The sequence below is a fragment of the Homo sapiens genome, chromosome 12, assembly GCF_000001405.40.
Source record: "Homo sapiens chromosome 12, GRCh38.p14 Primary Assembly".
NCBI classification, from domain to species: domain Eukaryota; kingdom Metazoa; phylum Chordata; class Mammalia; order Primates; family Hominidae; genus Homo; species Homo sapiens.
In genome coordinates, this window is record NC_000012.12 from 108,956,134 (window position 1) to 108,975,708 (window position 19,575).

Sequence of the window (19,575 nt, forward strand, 5' to 3'; positions counted from 1 at the left end):
ACTAAAAATACAAAAAAAATTAGCTGGGCGTGGTGTCAGGCGCCTGTAGTCCCAGCTACTCGGGAGGCTGAGGCAGGAGAATGGTGTGAACCCTGGAGGCGGAGCTTGTAGTGAGCCGAGATTGCGCCACTGCACTCCAGCCTGGGCGACAGAGCGAGATTCCGTCTCAAAAAAAAAAAAAAAGAATTAGCATTACCCTTCTAGGCTGTCTCTTCCAGTCTTCCCCAATCATGATGCTCAGCAGGCATAAGAAATCAATCCCTGACCTATTACCCCTGAGGGGGTGGGCGCTCTAGCAGGACTGAACAGATCCCCACCCTCCAATGCTGATCTTGCTGCTTGTGCTGCCAAAGAGCCAGCCTGCCCGCAACAGAGACCAACATGGAGCCCCCAGGATGGAACCACTCCATGTCACTTGGTAGCAACTTAGGTACATACATTGGACTCTTCCAGTTTTGAAGGAGCAGCAATTCATCTTGACCGAATCGGCACCTATTCTGAGTATTGGTTTATCTTTCCTGCCCACAAGGTCTCAGTCACCACCATCACCTGAGGGCTCACACAATGTCTGACCCACTGACAAAGGATCCATCATAACATTGCATGGGACCCAAGGAGCCCATATAGAGTGAAGGAGATGTAGAAGCGGATGTATGGCCTGGAATCCGCTGGTCCTATCATATATTGTGCTATCCTGAAGCTGCTGGCCTAAGAGAGCAATGGAACAGGACTCTGAAGGTGTCACTAAGGTGTCAGCTTGGAGACGATGCCCTGTGACCATGGGGCACTGTCCTCCAGGACACAATACCCACTTAAGTCTATTGCCATTATGATGCTTCATTCCCAGGAGAAAAGATTCATGGGTCTGGAAATTAAGGGGTTGAAGTAAGAGTAGGCTTCACTGTCATCAGTCTCAGTGACCCAGATCAGGGGATTTGTACTTCACATCCTGCAACTTCTGGGCTCGGTGGGTCTAGAGGTCCTGGCTCCCAGGGAGGGAAAGCTTCCACAGGAGACACAGCAAGAGTCTCAGTAGAATGTCTTTTTTGAGATGGAGTCTTGCTCTGTCGCCGAGGCTGGATAGCAGTGGCGCGCTCTCAGCTCACTGCAAACTCCGCCTCCTGGGTTCAAGGGATTCTCCTGCCTCAGCCTCCCAAGTAGCTGGGATTACAGGTGTGTGTCACCACACCCAGCTAATTTTTGTAATTTTAGTAGAGACGGGATTTCACTGTGTCGGCCAGGATGGTCTCGAACTCCTGTCCTCACATGATCCACCTGCCTTGGCCTCCCAAAGTGCTGGGATTACAGACGTGAGCCACCGTGCCCGGACCCATTAGACTTTAAGCAACAGCTGCTACCCAGTAACTTTGGGCTCCTTTGTGTCAAGAAATGAACAGGCAAGAAAAAGAGTCACCGTGGGCTCCTTGGGTCCCATGTCAGAGAAATTGATCCTAACCACCATTAAGACTTAATAAGCCCCATCTATCATAGGGCCACCCAGGTGATATACCAGACATCTCTTGGTAATCTCCTGCTCAATTTTGGTGTTAAATGGACAAGCGCAGCAGCTATGGCCTAAAAGAGGCATGGCGACCAGGGACTCGAATCCCTTAGGCATGAGATCTCAGTCACCCACCCAGGTAAACCGTCTAGATCAGCGAGAGTGCTCGCTGAAGCTGAGAGGAATTTAGAATGGGAAGCAGAGGTGGGAGACATTTGGCCTTTTGGCCAAGGCAACTTCTGCAAGGAACTCAACTGTGAGCTCCATTGGCATCCATTGCAGCCGTGAGACTTTTGCAGAAAAGAGATTATCCAGAATCCTGGAGGAACTGTTCTTAGGCGGGGTGAGCTGATTACAATTATGGGCTGCATAACACATTTGAGTCAACAACAGACCACATATATGATGGTGGTCCCATAAGATTATAATACTGTGGTAATTAATTAACTTATTTATTTTGCAATCTTTTATTGAAGAGTACTGCTTCGTGCAGAGCAGGGCTAACTCATAGGCAGTGCACCCAGAGTTGGCCTATTTTCATTATTCTTTAATAGCGAGGGGGTCTAGCTATGTTGCCCAGGCTGATCTCAGACTCCTGGGCTCAAGGGATCCTCCTGCCTCAGCCTCCCAAAGTGCTGAGATTACAGGTGTAAGGTACCATGCCTGGCCTTTTTTTTTTTTTAATTTAATACTGTGTTTCTACTGTAGGTTTTCTATGTCTAAATGTGTTTAGAGATGCAAATACCATTGTGTTCGAATTGTCTGCAGTATTTAGCACAGCTACATGCTGTACGGGTGTGTAGCCCTGGAGCAATAGGCTATACCGTATAGCCTAGCTGTGTAGGAGGTTGTCCCATCTAGCTTTGTGTGAGGACAGTTTATGATGTTTGCACGGTGACAAAATCACCTATTGATGCATTTTTGGAACACATCCCCATCATTAAGTGACGCATGACTATATTTGAAGCAAGTGGGTCCACCCTGGACTGTGGAGGATGCTGTGATGTGCTACTTGGTCTGCCCTTCAGGACTGAGGCTTTTATTCCCTCCAAAATGAGCAGGAGCATTGCCTGCCAGGAGCTGAGTCCCTTGCAGAAGTTGCCTTGGCCAAAAGTAGCTGCCTTGCCTAAGATCATGCTCCATCCTTGAGGGCAGCCCACATCCGATGCCTGGTTGGTGTGAGGGTAAAAAGGCCTAGCCCCCCCGCCCCAATCTGAAACACCTCTGAAGGGCCACCTCTGCTTCTGAAACCCTGTAAGCTGACCAGAGGCCTCTGTGGCAATGGTATGGCAACTCAGCTTCCCCCTTCGCTGGTCCTAATTTTCTCACTTTCTTACAGGTGTTAATCCTAGTAACCACCTGCACAGTAATCTCCATCTCAAAGTCTATTCCCCAGGATCCCATCCTAGAACAGGGACCATGGTGCTCTTGCTCAATGCTGCGTCCTGGCACCTAGCATTTCTAGGTACTCAAGAAATATTGGTGGAATAAATGAATACACTACAAGGGATCGCCCTGGTCCTCTTGCAAAATTTTCCTAATGATTCCTTACCTCCAAGCTGTTCTACCTGCCATAGCCAGATCCATACTTCTAGGTACCTCCGCTGCTCAAGAACTCTCAGTGGCTCCTCATCACCAATAGAATCCCTTTGGCCTGGCATTTTAGGCCTTTAACAAGCTTGCCCTGGCCTACCTGTCCAACCTCAGCTTTTAATTCTTTTTTTTTTTTTTTTTTTTGAGTCAGAGTCTCACTCTGTCATTCAGGCTGGAGTGCAGCAGTACGATCTTGGCTCACTGCAACCTCTGCCTCCCAGGTTCAAGCGATTCTCCTGCCTTAGCCTCCCAAGTATCTGGGACTACAGGTGCCCGCCACCAAGCCCGGAAAATTTTTGTATTTTTAGTAGAGATGGGGTTTCACCATGTTGGTCAGGCTGGTCTCAAACTCCTGAGCTCAAGTGATCTATCCGTCTTGGCCTCCCAAAGTGCTGAGATTACAGGCATGAGCCACCGCGCCTGGCCAGCTTTCTCTTACAGATCTCATCCCTCCAAGCTGACCAACCAGACAATTAGCCTTCCTCAGCCTCAGCTACGGCTTCCTCTTTTCATGTGGTTCACTTCCTAGAAAATGTCCTAGATCTTCTCCAAGTCTCCTTCTGGGTCTTTCCAAATCCTTTGCCTTCTTAATAGCAAGGCAGTAAAATGCAATGGGTATAGAGCCCAGGCACTGGGGTTAGAAGGTCCAGTTCCTATTCCAGCTCCTCCACCACTTCCTGGCTGTGTTGCCTAGAGCAAGTTACTTTACCTCTCTGTGCCTCAGTTTCTTTATCTGTAAAATGGGGTTAATAATAGAATTTACCTTCTAGGGAAAATGAGAGATTAAAGGAGATCATCTGGGTAAACCGTTTAGAACAGCACCTGCCACATAGTTAACACTAAATATTGGCTATTATCATTTTTTAGGGTGGAGTCCAACACGCATTTTCTATAATGGGCCACATAGTGAATAGTTCAGGCTTTGCAGGCCATATATCTGCTGAAACTACTCAGTTCTGTTGCTGTGGCATGAAAACGACCATAGATAATACATAAATGGAGGGTGCGGTGTGTTCCAATAAAACTTTATTTACAAAACCAGTCAGCAGGTCGAATTCTGCCCGTATGCCATAGTGTGCCAATCTCTGCTTCAGGGCCCATCACAAATAGGAAGTCCTCCTCGATGCCCCAGGAGACAGTGGCTTCTTCCTACAGCTCTGAATATTCTCAGTACCTTAAACTACAACAGCAACAGCAAATTGCTGCCTGAGTGACATGTGGTTAGCATCATACTCTGCCTTGCGTTTAGGTAGGAAGAGCGTGGGAAGCAGCATTCATGGTAGCTAAAAGCATGGATATTGTAGTTACCCACCATGTGATTCAGACAGATGATTTCACTCTCTGAGGCTCAGTTTCCCCAACTGTAAAACGCAGATTGCAATAATACAATAACACACACCTCTTGGGCTGCTGCAATGCGTCCAAGTGGAACAGTCAATCAATGCTAGATGCATTATCATTTCGCTTTTACAACCTTCCAGCCATTGTGTTGTTTTGCTGCTGTTGTTGATCATAACAATACTGATAATGATGCTATTTTCTTGCTACACCATAGCTCCTTGATCCTGGAAGCCCTGGTATAGCTATCTCTGCACCCCTGCTGCCCCATCTCAGCCCCTAACTCCTGATCCAGACCATGAACAGACACGTGGATGGGCAGCCTGGCTGCATAGCCAGCACTGGGTATTTACTTACGACTGGGGAACTCCTCCGATCCCGAAGCCCACCAGGCCCCGGAGCACCAGGATCCAGCTATACACGGGCGCAAATGCACTAAGGATGCCATAGTACAGAGTCCACAGCACGCTGATCTTCAGCCCCTGAAGAGAAGGAAGACACGGAATCACAAGGGCTTTTCAGCACCTCCAGGTAGCGTTTGCACCTCACTGAGAGCCGCCGATAATGGGGTCACATTAAAGGGAGCCTACACAACCAAGGGGGTACTGGGTTCCTCTGTATGGGGAGTGCCAACCCACAGGGGTTGGGTGAGAAAATCATGGGGCATTCTTGGTTGTCCCAATGATTGGCATTGAATGCCAATCTGGGCCAGATATGTCAGATATTCCACAATACAGGAGACAAAATAGATTGTCCTGCATCTCATACCATCTCAAATGTTCTGCCCGACCATCATGCAGCTGAAACTCTGTTTCTGATGATCTGCACCTAGACTTTTTGCTCTGTTTCACACATTCAAGACTTTTTTTTTTTTTTTTTTGGCATAGTGTGAATATACACTTAATTTTTCAGGAACGCAACTTTCAGGTAAGTCAAAAGAAAATTTACTTTGTTTTACCTGGAACTTTACAAAATTGTTCTTTTCAGAAAACCATGCTGTCAATGACAACGCTGTGTGCAGCATTTGAGTCACTGATGGGAAGCTTCAGTGTCAGCTTTCACTCAGGGTTTATCTATGAATACACTGATCTAAACCTTATTTTAAAAGGTCAAATGTAAAGAAAAACCATCAACAATATTCAGTTAAGTCCAAACGTATTTACAATCAGGGGCAGATATTGACCCCTTCCTCTTGTCATCTAGACAGAGTTGTAGGTAAACATTTGCATATTAAAAATAAATTTTATTTTATTAATGACGTTTTAAATTTCTCCCTCCTAGTTAGCACTTTAGAACTGATTTCTTTCTTTTTCTCATTAACAAGTTTATTTTGGCATCATTATTCTAACATCTATTGTACCAGGATAAAACTATATCAAAGTATAACTGTACTGAGTGATATTTTTACTATGAAGAATAAAACATAATATAAAGGCAGTTTCCTGTGCGGGCAAACTCATTTTGAAGTTATTTTAATGAATGACATACTCTTACATCCTCCTAATTTGCAAATGAAACAAGTAACTTATTTCTTTCTTATTTATTTATTTTGAGACAGGGTCTCATTCTGTTGCCCGGGCTAGAGTGCAGTGGTGCAATCTCGGCTCACTGCAGCCTCAACCTCCCGGGCTCAAGTGATCATCCCACCTCAGTCTCCCATGTAACTGGAAGCACAGATGTGTGCCACCATGCCTGGCTAATTTTTGTATATTTTATAGACATGGGGTTTCACCATGTTGCCCAGGCTATTCTCAAACTCCTGGGATCAAGTGATCCACCCACCTCAGCCTCCCAAAGTGCTGAGATTACAGGTGTGAGCCAACACGCCTGGCTGATTTCTTTTTTAAAGTACGTGAATGACTAGGTTATTTTATCTTTGGAAATTTTTTCTGGATAGTTAAGAAGGCGTTATTCAGTGTTCACTTTTTTAAAGAAATGGAGTGTTGCTATGTTGCCCACGCTGATCTTGAACTCCTGAGTTCAAGGGATCCTCCTACCTCAGTCTCCTGAGTAGCTGGGATTACAGAGGCACATTTTCCACATTTTTAAAGTAAAGAGGGCATGTGTTCAATAGGGTCAAGAACCACAGAGGGACACAATGCTTCAAGACAAACATGGGGCCGAGCACGGTGGCTCACATCTGTAATCCCAGCATTTTGGGAGGCTGAGGCCGGGGATCACTTGAGGCCAGGAGCTCAAGACTAGCCTGGCCAACATGGTGAAGCCCTGTCTCTACTGAAAATGCAAAAATTAGCCAGGTGGAGTGGCGGGTGCCTGTAGTCCCAGCTACTTGGGAGTCTGAGGCAGGAGAATTGCTTGAACCTGGGAGGTGGAGGTTGCAGTGAGCCAAGAACTTGCCACTGCACTCCAGCCTGAGGGACAGAGTGAGACTCTATCTCAAAACAAAACAAAACAAAACAAAAAAGACAAACATGGCACATATTCCTGGAGTGTTAATTACCCTTAGAGATTGGAAAAAAAATTAAGAGTAAACAAATACTATTTTTATATCACAATCAATGCCAAATATGAGAGGGTAAAATGCAAATTTCACGTGCATTTTCAACCTGCTCTGTGAGGTCTGGTCAGGCCTCTTTCTGCAATACCCTTCCCAGAGCTCCAAGGGTGAGTTCACCTTCCTGTCCCCCAGGGAACACTTCAGGGGGCAAGTATGAAACATACTGATTTTTTGCTTTAAGATATTAAACTGAATTAAAGGAGATGAGTGAGGAAATTTGGAAGCCTACCAAATGATTTCGAGTCTTTTAGAAAATGACTTTATGTGGCAGAGAGAATATTTTAAATAATTTTGCATCACCTCACAAGAAAGTTATTTTTTTCATTTCAGTCTTCATTTTTATGATTATGTCAAAGAGTCCGTGAGGTGCCAGTCTGTCTTTAACACCTATTTATCTATTTGTATTTATTTATTTTTTTTTTGAAATAGAGTCTCGCTCAGTCACCCAGGCTGGAGTGCAGTGGCACGATCTCAGCTCACTGCAACCTCCGCCTCCTGGGTTCAAGCGATTCTCCTGCCTCAGCCTCTGAGTAGCTGGTATTACAGGTTTGCACCACCATGGCCAGCTAATTTTTGTACTTTTGGTAGAGTAAGTGTTTTGCCATGTTGACCAGGGTTTCGCCATGTTGCCCAGGCTGGTCTCGAACTCCTGGACTCAAACAATCCACCCACCTCAGCCTCCTAAAGTGCTAGGATTACAGGCATGAGCCACCACACCCAGCCAACACATTTTAAAAAATAGCTACTCTCCTCTCTATTTAACACAGAAGGCACTGGGACAACCACAACCACTAAGAATTTAATAACATTGCTTTGTTTGTGTTGCATTTATTTTTGCAGTCACTTCCTACTTAAGGCAATTGTTATTGATCTTCCAATTAAGACTGTATAGTTTCACTTTCCAAAAATATATTACAATTTTTTTATTAGCCCCATGTTACAAGTGATCGATTTTTAAAAAGCAATTTGATATAAAGAAAGTTATTCAGGTCCGGGCAAGGTGGCTCATGCCTGTAATCCCAGCACTTTGAGAGCTCGAGGCAAAAGGATCACTTGAGGCTGGGAGTTTGAGACCAATCTGGGCAACATAGCGAGACCCTTGGTCTACAAAAATTAAATCAAAAAAAAGAAAGAAAGAAGAAAGATATTAAGTACATAAGATAATAGGTGGCACAGGATTTACTAAAGTCTAGGAAGTGATGATAATAATAAAGCAACATTTTTGCACTCCTAAATCCATGACTGTAACATCGGTACTGGCCATACAGACATTTAATCCCTTTCTTTTGGCTTAAGCTAACTTAATAGGGACTTTCTTCCTTGGAATCCAAGGAGTCTTGAATCAAACAGAAGACTTAATTGGCATCAGCGGGAGAAAAGAAGGCACCGAGACAAGTGCATGGGAGTTAACCCTCCTTCAAGGTCTGCTGGGAGCCGTATTATCTGTCCTGTTTGATCACAACAGGTTGCAGCTGGCTCTGCATTTGTCTGTTGATGCCAGGGCTTTCCAGCTGCCCCAAAATGAGGGCTCAGCAACCCTGTGTAAGGCCTGTCATGGATATTACAAAAGCAGGGGGTACTGCCAGCAAGCCCCACCCAATAGCTTGTTTGGGACTCCGCAGACATGTCTCACGGGCCTTTGGGCTTTTCATTAACTATGACTGTCATTCCGTCTAATATCTGTTCTGCCCTCTATAGATTGATAGCTCCTTCCTTCCTTCTTTCCTCCTTCCCTCTCTCCCTTCTTTTTACATTTATTGAGCATCCCCTTTATATAAGGCTCCAGGGTAGATGCATAGACATTATGCATTCATTAATTTGCTCATTCAATAAGCATGTATTGAGCACCTGCTGTATACCAGACACTGACATATTTTCTTCACCCATTCATTCATTTATTCAATAAACACATGTTGAACACATGCTGTGTAGCCAGCATTAAAGATACTGATATATATTATTCATCCATTCATGCATAAAATATGCATATATTGAACACCTGCTGTTTGCTAGGCCCTGGGCTACCGTAAGGAACATGACAGCCAGAGTCTCTGACTTCATGGAACTTTCATTTGCATTTCATTAACCACTGTCACAACATTACACTGGGTCCTCACAGCAGCCCTGTGAACAAAGGTTGTTATTTTCATGTCTACTTTACAAATTAGCATAGCAAGGGCCCAAGTAGTTGAGCAATTTGCTGAAGATCCGTAAGTGGTGCCAAAGTTGGAGCCAGAACTTCCAACCTTGAATGAGCCACTCCCTTCCTCTAGAGCCTTTGATGGCTCCCTGTGACCTCTGACAGAAAACATAAATGCACAATGCACATGTAACACAGCAAGGATGGGGGCCTGGTGGAATTACAGGGAACTTTCCCTGTCGTGTCAGCCTCTGTTCAACTCTAGCCAAAAGATACCATGACAAAATGTGGGTTCCAGGCCTCCAGATTACCTGATTTTCCAAAAAACACATAACTTTATTTTTATGCAAGATGTCATTTTTGAAATGGAGGCAACTGATTCAAAATCCTATAAAACATTGTGCAGGATAAATAAAACACATCGGGGGCCATATTTGGCCTATGGGTTACCAGTTTGCAACTTGTAGCCTAGAAAGCCTGGTGCTCGTGGGCCAAATGTGGCCTGTGGTATTCTCTAACACGTTCAACCGAAGGACAGTATTTACAGGTCGAGGAGGCCCAAGGATCATCAGAGGGAGTCCGAGCGCCTGCCAGGCACCTTCACTTCCTTCTTAAAGATAAGATAGACCTAATAGCTTTTGAACTAGATAGTGACCGCTCCATACCATATTCTAAGTGTATTATACACTTTTTCCCTCTCTCCCTTCCTTCCTTCCTTCTTTCCTTCTTTCCTCCCTCCCTCCATTCCCTCCCCCCACTTCCCTCCCTCCCTTCCTTCCTTTCCTTTCCTTCTTTAGAGATGACATCTTGCTCTGTCACCCAGGCTGGAGTGCAGTGGCTCAGTCACAGCTCACTGCATCCTTGAATTCCTGGGCTCAAGCGATCCTCTCACTTCAGCCCCCAAGTAGCCTGGACCACAGTCACATGCCATCATGCCTGGCTACATTTTCTTATTTAATCCCCCCATTAAAGTGCCTATTATGGAGTCTATTTTGCAGATGGGGAAACTGAAGCTCAGAGAGGTGAAGCATCTTGCCCAAGCTCACCTCAGTCAACAGGGGTGCACTGTGATATAAACCTGGATGCGTTTATCTCCATGTCTTCAAGACCACACACCTACAGTTTCCTTCACGTTTCCATGGCTGCCACAAACTCCCAGGTGGTAGAAACTTCTGTAGGAACCAAAGTGGCTCACTGAGTCCTAACCCCGTATGTGAATGCCCCACAATATCATGCGGTGAACGCCCCGGCAGGAATCTTATAGCTGGGCCAGGGCAGATCAAGGAGGTTCTCGGTGGTTGCCAAGGCTTGCCAGCTGCCTGGCTTGCACAGTGTTCCTGGGGGAATTTTGGGGAAGCTTTATAATTAGAGTCTGATCTGTCCTTCCTGAGGTTGGGCCAGAATTCCATGCTGGGGAGGAGGAAGCTCTGCAATCTGGGGACACTTTCTCTTTCCCTCTGGTCAGGCCGGTTTCATGTTGGGTATGGAATTTATCAAGCTGTTTGGAAGAACTGGCGGGACACCATATGGGCAGCCTTCCTGGGCTTCATCTATTTGGGATGAATGAATGTTCAACTAATCAACTAAATTCTGAGGGATAATTCAGTTATGTCTCCCAGCGGCCAAGGTCAGGGTTAAGGATGTGGACCCTGGAGCCAGGTGTGCCTGTATTTCAATGCTGGCATTGCCATTTACGGACACCACAAGCTTGGCAGTGGTATAATAATAGACATTTATGTCATTTTCTCTGTGCCAAGAGTTTTATGTACAAGGGCCATTTACTCCTCATAACAGCACCATGGGAGAGACTATTATTATCCCACCTACAGATGAGAAAACTGAGACACAGAGAAGTTGAATAGCTTGTCTTTAATTAGAGGAGCTGGGATTTGAACCCAAGCAGTCTGGCCTCAAAACCCATGCTTTTCACAATGACACTGCATTATTTCACTTGTCCAAATGAGCTTCTTAGGTAAATATTGAAATGAGGGCTGAGGCCAGGCATGGTGGCTCACACCTATAATCCCAGCACTTTGGGAGGCCGATGTGGGCAGATCACGAGGTCAGGAGATCGAGACCATCCTGGCTAACACGGTGAAACCCCGTCTCTACTAAAATTATAAAAATTAGCCTGGCCTGGTGGCACGTGCCTGTAGTCCCAGCTACTTGGGAGGCTGAAGCAGGAGAATCGCTTGAACCTGGGAGGCAGAGCTTGCAGTGAGCCAAGATCTCACCACTGCACTCCAGCCTGGGTGACAAAGCGCGACTTTGTCTCAATTAAAAAAAAAGGAAAAAAAGAAAGAAAGAAAGAAATGAGGGCTGAGCAGGCCCAGGAGATGAAGAAAGAACATGAAGAGCGGATGCCACATCACTGCAACTTGGCGATATTGTTTGCACATGTTTTCTAGAGCCTGGTTTCTCAACCTCAGCACCGCCAACATCTTGGACTGGGTCATTCTTTGTGGTGGGGGCTGTCCCATGCACTGTGGGCTATGAAGCAGAATCCTTGGCCCCTATGCACTGGATGCCAGTAGCACACCCCTCCCCCAACGTGTGACAATCAAAAATGTCTCTAGACATTGCCAAGTGCCCCTAGCCCTGAACTGAGAACTACTATTTTGGAAGGTGCCAAAATATGGTTACAACCTTCAAGATTCAGTAAATGGCATTTCTGAAAACCCCTCTGTAAATCTCTTTAAAATCTCCTCTGAGGCCCTTCACAAACATGAAGATGTCTATATGGGAACGCCAAGTGAATTACTGCCCCTAGTGGCAGAGTAAATATACTCTTCCAAGGGAAGTTGGGATCCTACATGAATGACCATTGTGCATTGTGGACTTTCCAGGTCAACAAAGAACACTCATCAGGCAGTTGCTGCTCTGGAGAGGATAAGGCAGTTGCTGCTCTAGAGAGGATAAGAAAGTAGCAGAGAGTGGAAACAAGGAGGTCTGGTTCTCATCCACCACAGCTCAGTCACTCAAGAAGTATTTATTGAGTGTGCACTCTCAACCAGGGAGGTCAGGCTCTGGGGCCAACTCAGTGAACAAAACAAATGCAGCCCCTTTCCTCACGGAGTTTACTAAATTCCCTCCACACTCTTCAGTCTTGTGCCTGTGGCAGACAACACTAGTCAATCACAGCACTATCCCACTGAGCCTTCTGACTCCTCAAATCCATGTTTCTGGCATCCTCTAATAAATGATTAGAACAGACACAGAGACAAAACCCACCTGCCCTTTCATTTTGGGGATTCAATGAATGGTAGCTATGAATATCTGTGTTTTCTAATTCAGCCTCCTCTGATATAAATAAGGAAATTTCAGCCCTAGATGGGGAGTGGCTTGCTTTAGCCATGCAGTGTCAGATTCAAGCCCAAAGTTAAGGTATTTTTACTCATTTTCTGTTATATTCCTCACTGCCTTATGATTCAGCAATTGGATAGCAGAATTTGGGGTTCAGCAAATTTCCTCATTATGGATTCCTGAAGTGTGTGTGTGTGTGTGTGTGCATGTTTGTCTTTTGTGTGTGTGTGTGTGTGTGTGTTTGTGCATGTTTGTCTCAGGAACAAATAAATGAATTTTTTTTTCCAGACAGAGTCTCGCTCTGTTGCCCAGGCTGGAGTGTAGTGGCATGATCTCGGCTCACTGCAGCCTCCCCATCCTGGGTTCAAGCAATTCTCCTGCCTCAGCCTCCTGAGTACCTGGCACTACAGGTGCATGCCACTGGGCCTGGCTAAGTTTTGTAGTTTTTGTAGAGATGGGGTTTCGCCATGTTGCCTAGGCTGGTCTCTAACTCCTGAGCTCAGGTGATCTGTCCTCCCAAAGTGCTGGGATTACAGGCATGAGCCACCACTCCTGGCCTCCTTTGATTATTTTAAAGGCTTAAAGATTAACATTGGATTCAGCCTCAGACAGCCACAGCTTTACAGTTCTTTTAACGGCTGCTCAGCTCCATCAAAACAAAAATGACTCTGTTTTATTTTCAGAGGTGTTTTTTCTTCTCTCCTTCCTTCCCTCCTCCTTCCCTCCCTCCTTTCTTCCTTTTTTCTTCCTTCTCCCCCTTCCTCACTCTCTCTCCCTACCTCCTTCCTTTCTTCCTCCCCCCTCCCTTCCTACCTCGCTCTCTTTCTCCTTTCTTCTTTCCCCCTTTCCTTTTCTTTCTTTTTTTTTTTTCTGAGACAAATTTTCACTCTTGTTGCCCAGGCTGGAGTGCAATGGCACGATCTCGGCTCCTGAGTAGCTTACAGGCATGCGCCACCATGCCTGGCTAATTTTGTATTTTCAGTAGAGATGGGGTTTCACCATGTTGGTCAGGCTGGTCTCGAACTTCTGACCTCAGGTCATCCTCCCACCTCGGCCTCCCAAAGTGCTGGGATTACAGGCATGAGCCACCGCGTTCATGCCCTCTTTAGTTCCTTCCTTTTTTTCTTCCTTCCCTCCCTCTGTCCCTTCTCCCTCCCTCCCTTCTTCTTTACTTCCCTCCTCCTTTTTTTTCCTTCCTTCCTTCCTTCCTCTCTCCTGTCCTTAAACTCTTGTTCATTCTTCCAAACAGAAAATCACCATGCCATCACTCATATGCTCCAGAAACAGGAAGTGGGTGGGAGAGCAGATGGGGGCAGAATCTAAGGAGCTGCCACTGAAGACCAGAGTAATTCCTTCTTGGGTTAACAGGGGGGTAATAACCAGCTTTTACTTCCTTTGGGAGCCCCAGAGAGGCCTTTCCAACTGCCATCTCCAGCCCCATCACCGGCCAAGACCCCGAGGCCCATCATGGCTGCATTTAGTTTCCAGCCTGCTGCCTCTGGAGTTACATTCTTGGCAATTATATTGATCACCATTTCTTGGCAGTTATATTGATCACCATCTTCCAGGTGTCTGCTGGCCCAAGTTTCCTGCGCAATAGCAGTGAGAGGGGATGCAGCTGGAGTCTGCATCCTCTATGGCATTGCTGGAACGTTCATTCATTCATTGAGCCATCACCTGCTTCTGGAGCACCTACTGATTCAAGCCACAGGCATCATAGTGAAGACAGAGCTCTAGACTTAGAATGAGCAAGACCTGATTCTGTGATGAGCAAACCATGTGGTCCTGGGTAAGTTGCCCACTCTCCGTGCCTCAGTTTCCTCTTCTATCAAGTTAGAGTGATAATAGCACCTACTTCAATGGTTATTAAGGGGATTGGATGAGCTAACGCATGAACCATACTTTGCATCATGCCTGCTATACAACGCGCTATTTTATTTTCAGCCCATGATTTGCTAGTTGTAGTGGAGATTGCCTGTTACCTACCCAGCATCCAGATCTCACTTCTTCCTTCCTAACAGAATTCTAGGTTTGTTGAGGTAGCCCATTCCCAGCTCCAGTAGTAGGTTATTCTTAGTCTAAGCCAATCGTTTTCAAAGTATGGTCCCAAGCATTGACATTGCATGGGGTCTTGTCAGAAATGCTACACTCGGAATTTCAGTTTACATGTGTCCTGTGCCTAGCATGTGCCTGGCATTGTACAAAGAGATTCACACAGTGGCTCACATCTGTAATCCCAGCACTTTGGGAGGCTGAGGTGGGAGGACTGCTTGAGGCCAGGAGTTTGAGACCAGCCTGGGCAACATAGTGAGACCCTGTCTGTCTACAAAAAATAAAAAAACAATTAGCTGGGCATGGTGGCACAAGTCTTGTCCCAGCTACTTGGGAGGCTCAGGTGGGAGGATTGCTTGAGCCCAGAAGGTCAAGGCTGCAGTTAGCTATGATTGCACCTTTGCACTCCAGCCTGGGCAACAGAGCAAGACCTTGTCTCAAAAAAACAAAAGAAACAGTGATTTACACCTCAATTAACCCTAATTCATCTCTATTAACCCTCCAATACAGGTTCTGTTATTTTCTTCTTTATACGTATTAGGAAATTGATAATCAAAGAGGTCAATTTGGCTGAGCACAGTGGCTCATGCCTGTAATCTCAGCACTTTGGGAGGCCATGGCCGGTGGATCACTTGAGGTCAGGAGTTTGAGACCAGCCTGGCCAACATGGTGAAACCCTGTCTGTACTAAAAATACAAAAATTAGCCAGGCTTGGTGGCAGGTGCCTGTAATCCCAGCTACTTGGGTGGCTGAGGCAGGAGAATCACTTGAACCCAGGAGGCCGAGGTTGCAGTGAGCCAAGATCGTGCGATTGCACTCCAGCCTGGGCGACAGAGCAAGACTCCGTCTCAAAAAAAAAAAAAAAAAAAAATGTCAGTTTGCTTGCCCAAGATCACACAGCCAGTAGTGGCAAAATTGACACTGAACCTGGGTCCACCTGATTTCAAGGCCCTGAGCTGTAAGTTCCCTCTTCCTTCTTGTTTGCAAATCCATTTCATATCATGTCTGAGCTCTCCCAAAAGCTGGCTCTAAGATAAGGATCCTAGTAAAGATAGTTTATTTGAGCAGTGATTCCAGTAGGGGAGTGGAGAAGTGAGACAGGGAAGGGAAGGAAGGTAATTCAGGGTGTCTTCATGAACAGGCTCCCACAGCAGACACTGGAGCTCAGTCCTGCTGGGATTGAGAAATGGCTTTCTGGGTGCAGTGGCTCATGTCTGTAATCCCAGCGCTGTGGGAAGGCCAAGGCAGGAGGATCGCTTGAGGCCAGGAATTTGAGACCAGCCTGGGCAATATGGTGAAATCCCATTTCTACAAAAAATACAAAAATGAGCTGGGTGTATTGGCGCATGCTTGTAGTCCCAGCTGCTTGGAGGGCTAAGGTGGGAGGATTGCTTGAGCCTGGGAGGTTGAGGCTACTGTGAGCTGAGACTGTGCCACTGCACTCCAGGAAGACCCTGTCTCAAACAAAAAGAAAAACAAAAAACCCAAAATTTGAGAAATGGCTCTCTTTAGGGCAAGAGAATCAATGGCTTTATCTAGTATCCCTTGACTGCCCCAGCCAGGGGTAATGAGGAAATGGTTCTGGTCCAGGGGATATGAATAGGCATTGATTGTCTAGATTCTGAAATGTATATGCGTGGGCCCCACTAGGAATCTGTGCTTTGAAGAGAGTCCACAGCAGCCTTACAGCAATGTCTTCTCACTGTACTTCAACATCATCCTTATTAGGCCTCCCAACTGCTAATGCAGAACGGGTTTGCTACTTGTCCAGACCATCACCAAGACAACCCAGAGGACATGCGTTTAGAAGAGTAAGTTTGCCTTACTGTTTTCCTGCCGTACTGGTCTGAGATATTTCCCCAGAGCGTGGAGCTGGACATCATGCCTACAAAGACCACCTGTGGGGGGAAAGACAGTTGTCATTAGACAGAGGATGTGGATCATTGCACAGAAAGGGAACAACAAACGGAAGTGGTGACGTCACCCTCTAGGTAACAGCAATGATCTAACATTCACTGAGAGCCTGCCAAGGGGCAAACACTAAGTGCTTCCCGCAAGCTTCCCAACAATCCCATGGGGAGGGTGCTATTATTATTCCCATTTTACAGATGAGGGAACTGAGACTCAGAGAGAGAGGCAATTGCAGGACCAGCGTCACAGAGGCGTTAAGTGGCGCAGCCTGCGCTGGTATCAGGCATTCTGGCTCCAGAACTAGCTTTTGACAAGTTTCACACCATCCCAAAGAAACACTTGCCCTGCTGCTGAGAAAATACCAAGGGCTGCAAGGTAGAGGTTGGCATACAGGAGGCTGGCATGGGAGCTGTAAACTACTAGTAAGAGAAACCACTCATTGTGTGGGAGGCCAAGTCATTGTTACATTGTTAATCCTTGGAGTAACAGCTGGTGAGATTTGAATGATCCTACTCATATGACAGAATGGGGAGCTGAGGCTCAGATAGATTAGAAACCTGCTCCGCCTCCCTGAAAGGAGAGAGTAGAGGCAAGTCTTAAGCCCAAGCAGGCTGACTGGCACCTCATCACCATGCTCTTCCCTCTCCAAGTGCCAGACACCATGCTGAAGCCTTTATGCACACATCTTACTGCATCCTCACAGTAGCCCTACTTGGTGGGTGCTTATATTCTCCCCATTTCACAGATAAGGCAACTGAGGGCCAGAGAGGGGAGGGCACAGATTCAGTTTGGTCTGACCCAAAAAGCATTTCTTGTGGCATGTCCGAGGGCAGGGAGTGGGGATGGTACACAGAAGCGTTCCAAGGGAGAAGCAGACAGTTTATGTATGTATAATTTATTTATTTGTTTGTTTGTTTGTTTAGACAGGATCTTGCTCTGTCACCCAGGCTGGAGTGCAGTGGTATGGTCATGGTTCACTGCAGCCTCAGCCTCCTGGGCTCAAGTGATCCTCTCACCTCAGCCTCCTGAGTAGGGGAGACTACAGGTGTGCACCACCATGCCTAGCTAATTTTATTTATTTATTTATTTAGTAGAGACAGGATCTCACTTCGTTGTCCAGGTTGGTCTCTAACTCCTTGCTTCAAGGGATCCTTCCACATCAGCCTCCCACAGTGCTGGGATTACAGGCATGAGCCACTACACCTGGCCCGAATGGATCATTTTAAGGGAATTCATTTCCAAGTTTTCAACTTCCCTACAGATTCTTTCTCAAGAACGAGTTAGGAGTCTTCTTCTCCATTTCCTGCCTGACTCCCTCTTTCTCAGCCACACCTCTCTAGGCCAGTCTGACCAAGGCATTGCTTTTCAATGTAAACCCTTCAGGGTGCCTCAGAAGGGGCACTGATGATGCACTTACAGATGACTTTTGCAAGTCATCTGGTTTCCAATACCTTTATTATTACTTTCAACAGAATTGAAAAACAGTCTAATCAAGCTGTCAGCAAGTTAGGTCATGGAACATAATTTTTCAGAAATGAAAGCTGTGTGCTCTTTGGCACACGCAATTTGGAGAGCGTTTTTAAAAATCAAGTGGCATTAGTTTATTGAGTTCTAACAAAACTCCTTCAGTTCCTCAAAACTTTTTTTTATGTGAACAAAGCTTTTCATATATATAGTCATTCAGGAAAAGTGACAAATAGGAACAGACCTGGTGCTGAACCCTGTCTCACTTTAGCAATAATCATTCAGGAATACATAAAATATTTGGGAAACATTCCACACCACTCATTAAGGGATACATTTCCAATAAAACCTTGCTTATGATTAACAATTATTTATCAAAATTATATGTTGTTGTTGTGGTCTATTGTGTACTACTAAAAATTATAATGATAAGTCAGTGCAGGAGAAAAATTTTAGTGCTTAGAGCCTTCTCATCTCAGAGAATTAAAACTAATAATTTAGAATGTATGTATTCTGTCACAGAGAATTATAATAGGGTAATGAATGTGATCCTTTTAAGCAAAATAATATTACATTAGGCCAGCCTGGGCAACGTGGTGAAACTCTGTCTCTACTAAAAGTAAAAAAATTAGCTGGGCATGGTGGCGTGTGTCTTTGGTCCCAGCTGCTCAGGAGGCTGGGGTGGGAGGATGGCTTGAACTTAGAAGGCGAAGGTTGCAGTGAGACAAAATCACGCCACTATACTCCAGCCTGGGCAACACAGAGAGACCCTATTTCAAAAAAAAAATACATTAAGGTAAAATTATATGGAGAAATGAATGGAAATACCAGTTCCAAGAAAAAAGCAATGCAAAATTTCCAAATTCCTCTAAAGAGCTTGTTCATGTAACTTTAAAACAAATGATGGCAGATATCAGGTAAGTATTTCCATTTTTCCATTTTACTAGACACATTTTAAAAAGTGATATGATAATTTTATTTTGATTTTTATATTTCACTACACTGGCAATGGCATCATCTGCAACCTACAATTTTAAAACTTTCATGTCAATGTAAAAACATGTGACAGTCCTGGATTCTACATGGTTTTTATTTAATTCTTTTCTAGATTAACCTTGAAAAAAGATGTTTGAAGATTACTGTCTTGGGATAAAGTGTTGCCTTTGTTATGTGCTAAGTGATATTCTTACATCCTCAAAGAGTTAAATATCCCTCAAAACACCCATTTTCCCCAAAAGGAGAGATTCTGGCACAGCAAAGCACTGCTTCTATATCATAATAATTACGGTAATCTTGCACAGTATTTCCTGCAGCAAAAATGTGCATCTGTAATATCCTCCTTGGGTACTTTATGTCTCCAACTCCTGCAGGACTCTGACTTTTCCTTAGAAAATTTACCCATGAGACTTAATGGCTCTACCTAGCCCACAAGTCTAAACCTCATACCACAAGAAAGTAGCCCGAGGCAGGGGCTCTGAGCCTGCCAGGCCTGGCTTTCAATTCTGCCTCTTACAGGCTGTCTGGGCTTGTGCAAGTCAATGCCCCTCTCTAAGCCTCAGTTTCCTTATCTGTAGAAGTGACAGTAATAAAAGCACCTCTTTCATAGGTTTGAGAAGGTTAAAGAGGTAATGTATGCAAAACCATTAGCCTGGCCCAAAATAAGTGCTCAGTAAATTATGGTTGTTATCATCCAATGGCAAGAGACCAGAAAGGCCCTACATTGCAAAAACACAGACCTGCAGTTATTATTATTAT

The 19,575-nt window shown here is 45.3% G+C and overlaps 1 protein-coding gene across 1 annotated transcript in view; it reads right to left on the bottom strand.

Annotated features, from left to right (window-relative positions):
• Positions 1 to 19,575, bottom strand: part of SVOP (SV2 related protein) — a 113,328-nt gene that overhangs the window by 48,393 nt on the left and 45,360 nt on the right. Inside the window, exons 5-6 of the mRNA NM_018711.5 lie at positions 16,272 to 16,343; positions 4,790 to 4,914 (exon numbers count right to left, since the gene is read on the bottom strand). Coding sequence (NP_061181.1) covers positions 4,790 to 4,914; positions 16,272 to 16,343 — 197 coding nt within the window. The remainder of the gene's footprint in view (positions 1 to 4,789; positions 4,915 to 16,271; positions 16,344 to 19,575) is intronic.